The following is a 15,512-nucleotide window of genomic DNA, read 5'->3' on the forward strand; positions in this document are numbered from 1 at the left end:
AGGTCACCAACAGAGATATCTTGGAGCTCTGTTACTCATTTCCAACAGTGCCACAAATAAAACTAATAACAGCAAATAACTATTGAGCACTTACTTTAACAGACCTTATTTTAAATACTTGTGTACTTTTAAGCTTACAACCAAAAACAGTGGGTTCCCTGAGTGTGGAGCTTGTGTTGTATTGGTCACTTCTGCATCACCATTTCTTATCACCTTACCTGGCAAATAGCAAGTCTGTGATAACACCTTGTTGAATGAATTGTCAGATACTCCTTAGGCCACTTCACATTCTCTCAGCCTCACCTGTCCCTTGTTCCAGCTGCTGCAGAGACCAATACTACATTAGGCTCTGAGCAACTTCACATAGGTAAAAAGGGCATGCCTTACCTGCACTCGATGTTTCCTGTTTCTTGCTCTGGGGGTTCTCTTTTGACACAGAGGTCTGGGGCACCATGACACCTCCCCGGCACCTGTGCATGTGCAAAATGAAAGTATGGAGGAGTTAACATCTCATGGGAAAAACCTTTGACCAGTGGGAGACAGGAATCAATGAACAGATTGCTCTTTCTTCTCTCCAATGGACTATTCTGACACACAATTTATTTGGCTTCTTGGAAGACAGTTATGATGGTCCCTTGGGATCAAACAATTAGCAGTGACCAACTTGGCAACACACCATCCTATTGACTCCCTCCCTCCCTGCCTGCCACTCTTCCTTTGTCCCTTCATCCTGCTCTAATAGAAATAGCACATACATGCTTTATCTCAGGTTTTTCAATCTGGAGAGCTTAGACAAGACAAAGAAAGTGAATTTACCTTTGTATACTTTGTCTAAAAACATTATCCAGATGAATCATTAACCACTGGGCCATCTTACTTTAATTGTCAAATTCAAATCAAAAGAAATGATGGATGCCATCTTCCAGAAACACGTAACCCATGACCATGGATGCCAATGGTAGTTATTTCTATAGGCCCTAGGAGTATGGCCCAAAGGCAGCTGGCCCCATTCTGATTCCTGCAAAAGTCTTATTTCTGCACAAGAAGCACTGCCTCTAAAGGATTCTTTGAGGGCAGGACGATGTGATATTGCTGTGTCAGGGTTCATAACAGAACACTTAAAACAATTGTTTACAGTACATGGTGTCAGAGAGATGCCTGCAGCTAATGTCTGAAAATTACACAAATCTGGACATTTATTAATTTACTAAAAAGCAGCAAATGTAAAGGGGCTGATAAAGCAAACAACTAGCAGTAATAATAAAATAATAGTTGTCATTTTTTTTCTAACATTTATTATTTACTCTGTGCCAGGCCAGGGTTTCACTGTGTCTTCACAAAAGCCCTGTGATAATAGTATTAGTTCACATTCACATTGTGTCTTCACAAAAGCCCTGTAATAATATTATTAGTTTAATTTACAGCTATCTGAAGGATTTCGAAGTTACTAACTTACCCAAGGCCTCACTGCGAGGAAATGGAAGATGGCATTCAACCTTCAGACTTCTTTTATATGGAAGAAGAATAAATTTCTCTGTTTAAGCCAGTGTTGTATTGTTGTTATATGTAGTTTCTGTTATATGTAGTGAAAGCTGTTATGCTTACCTAATTACAAGACATTTCTAATACTCCTTTTGGTTCAAGCCCAATCAAAAAACTGGGGAAATAGGCCAGGCGCAGTGGCTCACACCTGTAATCTCAGCACTTTGGGAAGCCAAGCCAGGCAGATCACTTGAGGTCAGGAGTTCAAGACCAGCCTGACCAACATGGTGAAACCCCCATCTCTACTAAAAAATAAAAAATAAAAAAAAAAATTAACTGGCGTGGTGGTGCGTGCCTATGGTCCCAGCTGCTCCTGAGGAGGCTGAGCACAAGAATTGCTTGAATCCAGGAAGCAGAGGTTGCAGTGAGCTGAGATCGTGCCACTGCACTCCAGCCTGGGAGACAGAGAAAGATCTTGTCTCAAAAAAAAAAAAAAAACTAGAAAAATCAACCCTACTGGACATTCAAAATAGTTGTAATCATAAGATACTGAGGGTGCATCAGAGAAAGGAGAATCAATTACCATCTGATATACGGAAAGGTATATCACAGCAAAAAATAAGCCACACAAGAGTTCCAAGGCCTTTTATAGGAATAATGACTATTTTTTCCTCTAACCCTAAAACTGACACATAGGAAGTGATAAACAGGAATGTACTTATTTGCAATAAGAATTTTAGAAAATAGTTATCATATTTCACTACTTATTCACTTAACAGTCATTTATTAAGCCCAGGGGAAATACAGAGATGAAGAGGTGAGACCTTCCTTGTAGGAGGCCAGGCCTACTAAAAGAGGCACCCAAGGAGACAGCCTACACAGTGTGCAGAGTGCTGTGGTCCAGAGAGCACGATCTAATGTTGAGGGAGGAAGGAAGACTTTCTGGAAGAGACGATACCAAGTTGATTAGATGTCCTTGGGAAAATAAATCTGGGTAGGGGGTGGCAGGGGGAGCAGAGAGAGAAGCAGGGCATGCTGGGAGAACAAAGTAGTGAGGTATGGTAGGAAATTTAGGGGGGAGAAGATATGAAGGGGCCAGGTCACTGCAGTATAGAGAAACCACATCATGAAGACCAGGCACTAAGGTGTCCAGACCACCTCAAAAGCTATGAAGAGCTGCAGAACACTTTTCAAGGGGGAGTAATGTGAGAATCATTGTCATTTAGAAAGATCCGTAAGGTGATTTTCTTCAAGTGAGCTCTCTGACCCTTCCTGCTCTAACACTATGAATCAAGGAACTGGTGCAATTTTAAAATAACAATAACTTGTCTGAGTCTAGACTGTTAGGAACCTGCAAGTAACTCCTGCTGTCATTTGGGAAGCTAATTTGGCTCACCACATATCCATGCCTGATACTGTTCTATTGGAACATGCCTGGTGGCCATGCCTAAGTTGGGAAGAGAGATACTACTTGCTACGTCTAAATGTTTGTGTGCCCTCAAAATTCAATGTTAAAACCTAATCCCAAGTGTGATGGTATTTGGAGGTGGAACCTTTGGGAAGTAAGATTAAGTCATGAAGGCAGTACCCTCATGAATGGGATTGGTGCCCCTATAAAAGGGACACCAGAGAGCCTCTATTCTGTATGCCATGTCAGGACACAGCTAGAAGGCACCATCTGTGAACGGGGAAATGAACCTCATCAGACACCAAATCTGCAGGCACTTTGACATTGGACTTCCCAGCCTCCAGAACTGTGAGAAATAAATTTCTGCTGCTTATAAGCCTCCAGTCTATGGCATTCTGTTATAGCAGCCCAAATGAACTGCAATAGTACTATTTGTTTCGGATACCAATTGAAGCAGAAGCCAGGAGCAAAAGACTAGAGCTGAGAAACAGTAAAGCCTTCCCTGAGTACTCAGTCTAAATCAAGACTTAGGATTTAAGAGCACTCAGTGATAACATGATGTCAACTAACTAGATGGCAGCAGAGGCTGAGGACCCAATGGGTGCCCATGCTCACTGCCACCAGATGGTTCTTCCAAGGAAATTCTTTTTATATTTGAATATTATCTGCAGACTCCAGGGGGCCTTCTAGGGGATAGGACCTGGGTTGGACTCCCAGTGGCTCCCGGTGTAATAAAGCAACCTTTGTACCGTTCCTTGCCCCTTTCCGCATACATTGGCCAAAGCTGGTGGGTCCCTCCTCAGCAACCACATGCCTGTTTTCACATAGAGTAAGGTGCAAGAAGCCAGGTGCCAGGCAGGGACAAAGTCTGGCCTGCTCATAATTGCATCTCAGCACTTGGTACAGCACCAAGCACATGACAGGTACTCAAGAAATATTTGTAAAATAGATGAACAAATGTATCAGTCAATTGTGCCTTTGCATATAGAATAATAGCAAACACATATCATGTTTACCATGTGATCTACACATTTTACAAACATTTTATCCTCAAAACAACATTATATGAGAAGTACTATTATTCTCCCCCTTTTACAGATGAGAAAAGTTAGGCAAAGATAAGTGAGTGACTTGCCTAAGGTCACACCGCTTAAAGCCTAGACTGGGTATCAACAACAAAATTTGTCAAATGAATAAATTCTAGCATTCGTGGTTTCTTTAGGATCCCATTATTTTGTCCAATTGAGGTAGCTGTGGGTTTTTTTCTGTTTGTTTTTATGTTTGGTTTTGGGGTTTTTTTTTTTTCCTTTCTTTCCTTACCATCTTATGGTGCTGAAGCTGTAGGTTTTAGTTGTTAACAGGGTGGCAATACTAAATTTGCACATCTTTTGGATATGATTGCATTGCACACACTGAAAAAAGGGAATGAGGCTCAGCTGAGAGAAAACCTTAAAATCCTCCAATGCAGTCTCATTACTCTTAGAATAAAACTCAAATGCCTAGACTTGGCCTGTGTGATGAGGCCTTCTATGTTGCCTCTGTCCTCATCTTGTGCCACTGTTCCCCCAGGTGCCTAAGGTCTCTGTCACACTAGCCAGCTTTCTGTTCTTCAAACAAGCCAGGCATGTTCCCCTTCATGGGCTATACCTGCTGTTTCATCTGCCAGGAATACCACGGGCTTTCTGTTAGCTGGATATCTTCTCACCATTCAGGTCTCAGCTTAAATGTTACTCCTCAGTAAAGCCTTCCCTGAGCCCTAATCTAAAGAGTGACTCCCCAGCTCCCGTCTCCAACTCCATCTGACCTGTCAATCTCTCCCTATCCCATTAACCTACTTTATTTTCTTCATAGTATTTATCACTAACTGAAATAATCATTTTTGTCGGCTTGCTTGTCTCCTTATTTCTTTTCTCTTCCCACTTGAGAATTTAAGATCTGTGAGCTCAATCTGGGATGCTGGCAGCATGAAGAAGGTGTGCAGTGCATATGTATTGAATAACAGATGATTCAACAAATTACTAAGCTTTGCCAAGCACTGGCCATCACCAAGTCAGATGAGGAGAGGAGCCTCAGATCTCCATGCACCCCACTGGAATCTCACCGCTGGAATCATGCAGAATAAAATGCCCAGGCTTCTGGAGCTTCTGTGTCAAAACTCACTGATGACACCTGATTGCCCCAAAGACAAGGCCCCCTTGCAAATCTGGGAGATTAAATCAGGAAAACTTTGGGAATAAGGGGGATAACTGTGAAATCAAACCAAAGAGAGGGTTTGGCACCACCATGGATGTTGGAAATCTGTGGCGCCACCTCCAAGTACCTGAAGAAAGAGTTGGTGCAGCCTCTATGACCATCAGGGAGGGCTTCCTGTTGTTGTTGTTGTTGTTGTTGTTGTTGTTGTTGTTGTTGTACATTATGCAGCATAAGATTTCACATTTTCTAAAAAATCCCTCCAATTTAAAAACACAGTTTGGAAGCCACTTCTTTAGAGAATTTCTCCTGATTATATGCAGAGTATAAATGCTAGAGGAGAATTTTTTTTTTACTTAGGTCTTTCTCAATAGTCACAGCAAAAATTTTAAATGTTGCCCTTCCCAGTTAGAAATTTGAAAACTTCAAGGCCAAATGCCCTGCCTGCTCCAGCTTGGAGGCTGAGGGAGCTGAACACATTCATCTGCCCCCTGTCCACCCACCTCTCCTCACCAGGTGGTGGGTAGGCTCATTGTCTGCTCCAGGCAAAACACATTAGAAATGTAGGGCGCTCAAACGTGCTACCTTGACGTGGGTAATTTTTTTTCCTGCAGGAAGAGAAACCAGGAATATAATTGCCCTAGAAATAACTCAATCAATGGGCATCCTACGCCCAAACCTCTCCAGGGGCCCACGCTTGCGAGGCATAAAGTAATGGCATGCTTGCCAGCAGCTAATGATGCACACCAGCCCCCCAGAAGGCTTCAGTAAAATGTCTCCTCACAGCCACTGTAATGATTTGGAATGTTTTGCCAAAACTAAATGCCTTCCTCTCATTTGCACTTCATGCCTTTAAGCTCCCAAGGTGCCACTGCCCCTGCCACTGGGTGAAGAGTGGCAGGGATTTTGCAGGAATGCTCCCCAGTAGCACAGGCCTAGAAACACAGAGCAGCCGCCCACACACTTCTGCGTTGTGACTGCCGCCTCACTGCTGCTAGGCAAGATAATTGGTGGTGCTGGAATGTGGCCAAGATTTGGCAGGATGCAGAGCAGGCATCTAAATTGGGGTGTTGGTGCCAGCATCAAAGCTCTGACCATGGGGTAGGAGCCAAGGTCACCACGAAGCTCAGTGTGACCTTGGAGGAGAGGACACCCCTCCCTGTCTGTGCCCTGAGTCCCACTCACTCAGCTTCCATGCCAGTTTTGTGCCACTCTTCCTACATACCAGGCTTTAGCTAGGGCAGCAGCGGGAAGCTGTTAGGTGACACATGAATCCTGTAAGGTATGCAGGTGGCGACAGCATACCACCCACAGGTTGGATGGTGACAGTCACAGCTATATATAGGGAAAGGGATTACCACAGCCCTCTGTGGATACTGCAAGTACTGATACATGGGCCCTTTGCATTGTGCCATGGAACCTGTTAGCAATGTAAAATTTGTTCTGTGCCAATTGGACACACGATCACTTTTAATATTAGCAGGAGGGAGAACAGAATCTGACATTTAAAGAGAAAGAAAGAGTCACACCCTGGTGATCAGCTGAATGATTGAATCCAACAACTAGTGTGTCTACAGCTTTTGTCGGAGGTTCACCCTCACCACCCTGACCTTAGTCACTGAATTTTCATCCCGAAAGCCCAGCCACAGCCCTACTCCTGAGGTTGTATGCCACTGGGGGCAGGGAGGGAGCGCTCCCTTGAGTGGAAGATTTGAGGTGGAATCCCTACCACTCTCAGAAGCAGAGGCAGGCATCCCATTTCACAAGGGGGTGCCAAGATACCATCTGACCCAGGACTCAGCTCACAAAGGGCCTTAAACTTAGAATTTTGAAATTATCAGCAAAAAGAACTTATAGCCATAGAGATACCCTGACAAGAGTGAAAAAAACTGGCATTCAAGACAAAACTCAACAGCGTCAACTAGATGACACTGCTGGGAGTACATTAAAACAATAACAACAATAATAACAACTAACACTTGCATAGTGCAAACTGTTGTAAGAATCTAGGTACTTCTCTAAGACTTACGTTTAACCCTCACAAAAACCCTATGAGGAGATACTACTATGCCTATTTTATAGATTGGAAACTGAGGTACAGAAAGACCACATCATGTGCCCAAGATCACATGGCTAATAAATGCTAGGCCACAATTTGAACTCAGGCTGTCCAGCCTCCAGTGTCCCCATGCTGAATCACTATCCTCTGAAGTAAGGGTTTTTAAAAATAAATCCTTGCTAATAGCACAATCACACTGCAATGTTACTCATTAAAAGCATCTACCTCTTAGCATGGAAACACTTGACATTTCATCATTTTTTAGTATCTCAGGAGTCTCTAAAAGGCTTTAGGTCAGGCTAGAAACAGCCTTTCTTCTTCCAAGGATTGCTCTTACTCTAGAGAAAAGTAACACACAGGCCGGGAATGGTGGCTCATGCCTGTAATTCCAGCACTTTGGGAGGTCAAGACAGAAGAATCGCTTGAGTTAAGGAGTTTGAGACCAGCCTGGGCAACATAGCAAGAAACCATCTCTACCAAAAAAAAAAAAAAAAAAAATGTAATTAGCATGGCGTAGTGGCACGCACTTGTAGTCCCAGCTACTCGGGAGACTGAGGCAGGAGGATAGCTAGAGCCCAAGAGTTTGGGGCTGCAGTGAATTATGATCATGTTACTGCACTCCAGCCTGGGCCACGGAGTGAGACTCTGTGTCAAAAAAAAAAAAACAAAAAGTAACACACTTCTGGAAAACAATCATAGAGCCCCGTGTGTGAGCCTCCTCTATGCTGCAGAGGCACTCTTTATTTGGCCATGTCAGGTCCTCAACTCAAATCTCTCCAATTAAGGAATGAGTGAGAGCTTCTCTGTTCCCAATAACATGATGCCAAGGCTCTCTGAGGGCTCAAGCCCTATCCTAGCCCCTCCAAAAGCATGGCAGCATCGGCGCGGGAGGGAAGTGCAGGGCACCTCGGCCAAGGTGCTGAGAGGTGTTGAATTATGATCCCAAGTATGCTGGAGGAAAACACTGTGTACAATTAGTATTTGATATATGGACAGTGGGATTTAATCACTCACAACACAACTGTTAACCCTCCCCAGGAAGGCACACTAGGCACTGTAGAAACGGAACTGAATGAGGCACACAAGGGCTCCGAACGGAGGTAACAAACACAGTGACAAATCACTCCAGTACAGTGTTGTTAGGAAAGTAGGTCATGGCATGGACAAGCGCTGCACGAGCCTGGAGGAGGGGGTTTCCCATTTTGCATAGAGAATTTGTAGAAAGCCTTTAAGGATTTGCAATCCTTGAAGAATTTGCAGTCAGCCTTTAAGGATGAGCAGGTGTTGACTCAGCTCAGCAGAGAGAGCTGGAAGAAAGACAAAGGGAGACTGCAGGAAGATGAGTGAAAGCAAGGCCCCAAACACCATCCAATCTGCAATAAGCCTTCTGCCTTTGAGCAAACTTGCCTGTTAATTAACTGACTTAATGAACATTTACTGAGTACCTTCTATTTGACTCATCATACTTGAAACTTTGGAGGGGGGTGCGGCTACCTGGAATTCTTAACAAATGTTCTAGAAAGATAGAGCTAGGTATTTCTCAACTAACTCTTATAATGCATATTTATCTTCCAAAACTGAAGTCAGCAGGGGCCATAGGAAAAATGCAGAGTTAGGCACACTCGCACTCTACCCACCCCTCCTTGAAGATGGGGACGGCAACAGGGTTTTAGAGCATCTCCATCTTCAAGTTTGACTCCTGCTCTGACTCCTTAGATTATGTCTGTTGGGTTGGCATCCTTTTTAGGACTGTCAGCAAAAGATCCCACTCCCAGTGGGCCTTGGGGCATGCCTGTTCCCATTAGAGCAGCTATTGATCAGAGACAGATGCCACCATGTGTAAGCACAGTGAGGTTGCCACGTCATCTCTAGGGACGTTGGATGCCAATCTGGCTCTTTGTTCTTTATCTCTTCATTGCCCCCAAATACTTTAGAAAAAAAATATGCTTGCATTGGAAGATCTAGTTTATATTTTGGTGATCAAAGAATTCTACATCTCAAATGGGCCTCCTTTATTTACATTTTTTAGTGTGTGTATTCTTTGAATACTCATCTCTCCTTTGCATCTGACTAACTCCTCGTCACCCTCCAGACCTCAGTGCAAATGTCACTTCCTCCCGGAAGCCTCCTTGGCACTACCACCATGCCCCAGACAGAATTAAGGGCTGCTTATGTGGTCCTATCCTTCTCTGGACTTCTGCCTTTATCACAACACATTTTAACTGCTGTTTTATTTATCTGACTCCTGATGGCAAATTATAAAATTCTGTGATGGTAAATCTCCTTGTTCATCATTGTATTCTCAATCCCCTAATACAGTGTAAGCAACATATTAGGTAGTCAGTAATTATTTGCTAAATTAATTTATTGTTTAATCAATACTAATGCTTTAAATGACTACACATCAACAATAAGTAATTTTGTTACTTCAAAATGAAGTACATTCTGCTCTTTAGATTGTTCATATTTCTTTAGCGAGCCTAAGGGTAGAAAAATATAGGTATCTCAGTCCTTCTGAAGTGCTTCGTAGAAATCCCAAATTTAGAACTTGCACAATTTAGGAGTTTAAATGAAAAAGTGCTGTAATTCCTAGTCCCATTTCCGACTGCTAGGGAAACTTTAAATCAGATTTCCAACAACATATGGTAGAGCTCTCTCCCTATTCCCTTCCTTAGTTCTCCCTTCAAAAATTTATATCATATGGTACACTTTCCTTTTCTCCCTCATTCAGGAAAAGGTATATGAATCTTGCTATTGTGGCTGTCTGTTGAAGTTTGTCAGAGAAGTCAGGGTCAGGGGAGGGGCATACAAAATTGATTTATGGTATCAGTGAATCAATACAGTGTGTTAGTAGATCTCTGCCCCACCACATTTAGGATAACCTTGATGAGGTTATGCCCCTTTTTTTCTTATTTTATTTCCTATCTCAATTTTAAAGATTGATACACCTTTAATGAATTGTTAGCTACAATTTTAAACAATAAATAAACAGCTCAGCCTACACACTTCTCAAGTTCTTGAAGTGTTCTCTTTAAATGCAAATAAAAGAGCTCTCAAGTCCTTGGGAGTAAAGGGTATGGAAAGGGAGCTCTTAAGGGAATCATAAGAAATGCATAATTCATAATAATAATAATAATAATAAGGATCTTTCATGGGACTCTTTCTGTCTTGGTAGTGGCTGAAGCCAACCAAGCAAAACTTGCAAAGGACATGGCTAGCCCGGTTTTATTACCCTTATCCCTCATATACCTCTGAGATCTAAAAGGATTGGGGTTGAAGTATGATTGGAAATTGAAGCATTTCTTTACAAAAAGTTGTTAGAGAGTTAGGTACTTTCCTCCCATCGTACTTAGAGGGTTTGACATGTGTTCATCGAGTCTGCAGAAGGCAGTGAACACAGTGGACTAATCTGATGCATATTGGAAAAGCAGTGTATTAGTCTGTTTTCACACTGCTAATAAAGATATACTTGAGACTGGGTAATTTATAAAGAAAAAGTTCAATGGACTCACAGTTCTACGTGGCTGGGGAGGCCTCACAATCATGGCAGAAGGAGAAAGGCAAGTCTTACATGGCGGCAGGCAACGAGAATGAGAACCAAGCAAAAGGCGAAACCCCTTATAAAATCATTTGGCTGGGTGGGGACATAGCCAAACCATCTCAAGCAGAAAGGCAGCAGCCAGTAGCCAGAGCAACTGAATGGAAGAGTGGCTGAGTGCAGACACACCAGTATTCCCAGTGTTTTTTGGACAAAAGATACATGAATATTCTCTGTGAACCAGAAGACTGCTCAGGAGAGAGAACTGGCCTGGAGGGGGCTTCAAACCTAAGCTGGGAAAGGACCCAGGATTATGGGGAGCTGAGGGAAAAAACATAAACAGTCACAGAGAACATGCATCTGAGGCATGACACAGGCAGTACAGTCTAATGTTCCCAGTGTAGGCCTCCAGAGAACCCACAAGTACAGCCCCAAAAAGATCGGCTTTGAAATTCCCCCAAGCCCAGAGTCAGCTTGAATCATCCGCCACAGCCAGCAGAATCCATCGCCATATGACATTGGTGCCAGTCAAACTTGACCTTTCCTGTCCCTGACATGTCCTCCGTATTCCCTCTCCTAGTGAGTAGCTGGAGCTATGGAGAAAGTAGCAGGAGTTGAGGGTGGAGGACCAAGGTGAGGAAGTCTAGAGGAAGCTAGCCCTGCCCTACTCCAGGCCCAGCAAGAAGAATCTTAAGTGAAATCTAAAGTGTTGATTAACACCTATGAATGGATTTTTTTTTACTGAAATGAGATTATCTTTGTGACAATAAGTAACTGGAAAACTTTTTATTATCTACAGGTGACTAGAAGCATCAGGGGACCTGCCCTAGACACACCCAGAGGGCAGAGGGGAACTAGTTCCAAGGAGCAGGTTCAAGCACATGGTGGGGAAAAGAATGAAGCTGTTTTCTCCTTGTGCCCTCCAAGGTTCTCCTCTTACAATATACTACTTACCTCGTTTCTCCTGGAATTCTCAATATCCTGCTAGCCCAGCAGGTTGAAAGATGTCATCAGCACGGTGACTGGCTGAGATCAAATCCCATTTTTGCACTTAATGGTTTGTAGGAAAGTAGACAGAATGCTATCCTCCACGTACCTTGATTCACTTATCTGTACGATGTGGATAATCGTAGGATCTACCTCATGGAGCTATTGTGAAGATTTAACAGCCACAAAGATCTTAGATCAGGGTCTAGCTCATGGTAAGTGCTCAATCAATGATAGCAATTATCATCATCCTCTTCATTGAAGACCCTGATGTTCATCAAAAATTTAATGCTCATTAACCTCTAAAGAAAAAGGAAAAGAGAAAGAGATGAGTAAGCATTTGGAATCTTGCTCCACCCAGAACAGAGCTGATGCCACTAGATGTGAGTCCCTCACAGGGCAACAACATCCTCTTTTCTAGAATTCTATCTCCCAGACCCAGTTCCACACCTGCTCATAGTCATTGCCAAGAAAGGATTCTTGAGCAAATGAATAAAGAAGTGAATGGATGAATGCCTATACTGCCTACACCCTGACCACCTTGATCTTGTTGCTCTGGGGCCAGATGAGTAGTTAGAATCTCTCATATTTCCTTACCCTCAAGGGAGGTGCCTCCTGATTCTACTGTGGCTCTTCAGAAACTCTTCCCAGCATGAGGCCCTCACTCCAGACTCTTGACAGCTGAAAGAGAATTGTCCTAAGCAGTGAATCTCAAACTTTAGCATGTATCCGAATCACCTGGAGTGCTTTTTAAAACATAGACTTGGAGTACTTTTTTTTGAGATGGAGTTTTGCTGTTGTTGCCCAGGCTGGAGTACAGTGGTGCCATCTCGGCTCACCAAAACCTCCGCCTCCTGGGTTCAAGCAATTCTCCTACCTCAACCACCCTAGTAGCTGGGATTACAGGCATCCACCACCTCATCCAGCTAATTTTTGTATTTTTAGTAGAGACAGGGTTTCACCATGTTGGCCAGTTGGTCTTGAACTCCTGACCTTAGGTGATCCACCCACCTCGGCCTCCGAAAGTGTGGGGATTACAGGCGTGAGCCACTGCACCCAGCCCTGGAGTGCTTTTTAAAACATAGATTTCTGGGCCCACTCTGGAGTCTCTGGTTTAGTAGGTTTGGACCAAGAATTTGCATTTCTAACAATTTACTGGTCCTGGGAACACACCCTAAGAAACACTGTCCTGTTATTTTTTGACTGTTTAACAAAATCCATGAGGCTGTGGAGAGAAAGGGGGACATTGATACACTCTTGGTAGGAATGTAAATTAGTCCAGCCACTGTGGAGAGCAATTTAGAGATTTCTCAAAGAACTAAGAGTTGAACTACCATTTGACCCAGCAACACCGTTCCTGGATGTATACCGAAAGGAAAATATATTGTTCTACCAAAAGGACACATGCATTCATATGTTCATCACAGCACTATTTACAATAGCAAAAATTTGGAATCAACCCAGGTATCCATCAAGAGTGACTGGATAACAAAAACGTGATACATGTACACCATGTACTACAGCCATACAAAAACAATGAAATCACGTCCTTTGCAGCAACATGGATGCAGCTAGAGGCCACTAACCTAAGTGAACTGAGGCAGAAATGGAAAAGCAAATACTGCATGTTTCACTTATAGGTGACAGCTAAACATTGGGTACTAATAAAGTGGTAACAGTGGACACTGGAGACTACTAGTGAAGAGAGGGGAGAGAGGGAGGGGAGCAAGGGCTGAAAAACTACCTGAAAAAAAACCATAGTGGTACTATGTCCACTACCTGCGTGATGGGTTCAGTCATATCCCAAACCTCAGCATCATGCAATATACCTTTGTAGGCCAGGCACGGTGGCTCATGCCTGTAATCCCAGCACTTTGGGAGGCCAAGGCGGGTGGATCACCTGAGGTCAGGAGTTCGAGACCAGCCTGGCCAACATTGTGAAACCCCCAAGACACAAAAATTAGCTGGGCGTAGTGGCATGCACCTGTAATCCCAGGTACTTGGGAGGCTGAGGCAGGAGAATCGCTTGAACCTGGGAGGTGGAGGTTGTAGTGAGCTGAGATCGTGCCACTGCACTCTAGCCTGGGCAACAGAGCAACACTCTGTCTCAAAAAAAATAAAAAATTTTATATATATATATATATATACACACATATATATATGTGTACATATATATGTATACATATATATGTATACACCTTGTTACAAAGGTATATATATATACACCTTTGTAACAAACCTGCACATGTACCCCCTAACTCTCAAATAAAAGTTAAAAACAAAGCACTGTTCTAAAGCATGGCTTTGATTGCATCATCCACTGCTTAAAAATCTCAGAGAGTTCCTTTTAAAAGTCCATGAACTAAAGCTACTAAATAAAGTCCTCACTCCTTAGTCTCAGGCCCTTCCAACACAGCCCAGTCCAACTTTCTAGCCTCATTTCCTGCCACTCCCCTCCATTCTCTCTAACCACACTGGGCTGCTTTCCCTTTTAGGGACTCTCCAGTGGCCCTGCCTCTGCACTGTTCCCCAGGCCTGCAGTGCTCTTTTCTCCTTCCCTCCTGATCAAGTCCTAGTCATCCTTGAAGATCTGATCCAAATGTCATCCTCTGTGTCACTTTCTCCAAGTCCCTCCAGGCATGCTGTGTGGCCAGAACATACCGTACACAGCCTTGCTATCACCCTTGTGCGTTGGCATTGTCTGTTACATGTCTATTATGTTACTAGATTGTCTTTGCCCCTCCAGCCATGACCATGCTATTTATTTTCATTTGATGCTCCAAGCCCAGCACAAGGCTTGCCAAAAGGGGCAATTTAGCACACATATGATAAATAAGTGAATTCCAGACTGTGGTTGCCCCAGTTGATATCTGTTGCCTGCTCCACACATGTTTACTGTATTAATCAACTATTGCTATAATAATGGTGCACAGCAAAACACACACACATACACATCCAATCTCCAACAATGAACATTTATTTTTCTCACTCAGCTAGGGCAGCTCTGCTTCAGGCAGCAATTTGGCTGAGCCTTGGTTCCAAATTGCAAGTTGGGTTCAGGTTTGCTCTACACACATTTCCTCATTCTGGAGCCGGGAGCTACATGTGTGCACACTGCACACATTAGATCTGCTAACATTCCACTAGCCAAAGCAAGTCACACGGCCAAGATCAATATCAGTGGAGCAGGGAATATACCCTGTCCTCCACAGTGTCAACAAAGCCGTGGCAAGGCATATAGAGGTATAATATTATAACAGGGAGCCAATCAAGTATTGGGAAGGAATCATTGGAAATAATAATCTAACCTACAAAATGTACCTTTTCCCATTTTGGGGTCGTCACTCATCTTTGTTCATTCTGCTCAGATGACATCATAGAACCTGCTGACTCCCCAGGGCACAACCTGAAGCCAGTAAACTCATTCTTGTCTTACTCCATCCTTGAAGTTTCATCTACCATATGCCTAAAGCTGGAAACCCAGAAGGAATAGACCTAGCCATTGTATTTTTTATTTATTTTATTTTTATTTCTGCTCCCACTCTATTGGGATCAGCCATTGTATTTTTAAAAACATCATTTGCAAAGTCACTATATTCATTAGTGGAAACTCTCATTGTTAGAGAAATACCACTCCACTCTGTTATGGTGAAAACACAATTTCTGTTCTTTCACAAAATGCTACAGGCTGTGAAATTTCTCTTTACCCACCCAATCTCTCTATTCATAACCACACCTTCCTTGCACTAGAGGCCTATTCACTATGATTTTAGCTTTGCCTAATCTAAATGCTGACAAGCCACTCTCCCTAAACCAGTAAGTAGAGGGGGACCAGTAGGGATCTCAGA

The 15,512-nt window shown here is 43.2% G+C and overlaps 1 long non-coding RNA gene across 1 annotated transcript in view; it reads right to left on the reverse strand.

Moving 5' to 3' along the window:
• Positions 1-387: 387 nt before the first annotated feature.
• Positions 388-15,512, reverse strand: part of LOC107984253 (uncharacterized) — a 30,274-nt gene continuing 15,149 nt past the window's right edge. The window contains exons 2-4 of the long non-coding RNA XR_001747550.1: positions 12,262-12,345; positions 11,774-11,966; positions 388-470 (exon numbers count right to left, since the gene is read on the reverse strand). This is a non-coding gene — a long non-coding RNA (uncharacterized LOC107984253). The remainder of the gene's footprint in view (positions 471-11,773; positions 11,967-12,261; positions 12,346-15,512) is intronic.

The sequence above is a fragment of the Homo sapiens genome, chromosome 10 (genome assembly GCF_000001405.40).
Source record: "Homo sapiens chromosome 10, GRCh38.p14 Primary Assembly".
In the NCBI taxonomy this organism is placed as follows: Eukaryota; Metazoa; Chordata; class Mammalia; order Primates; family Hominidae; genus Homo; species Homo sapiens.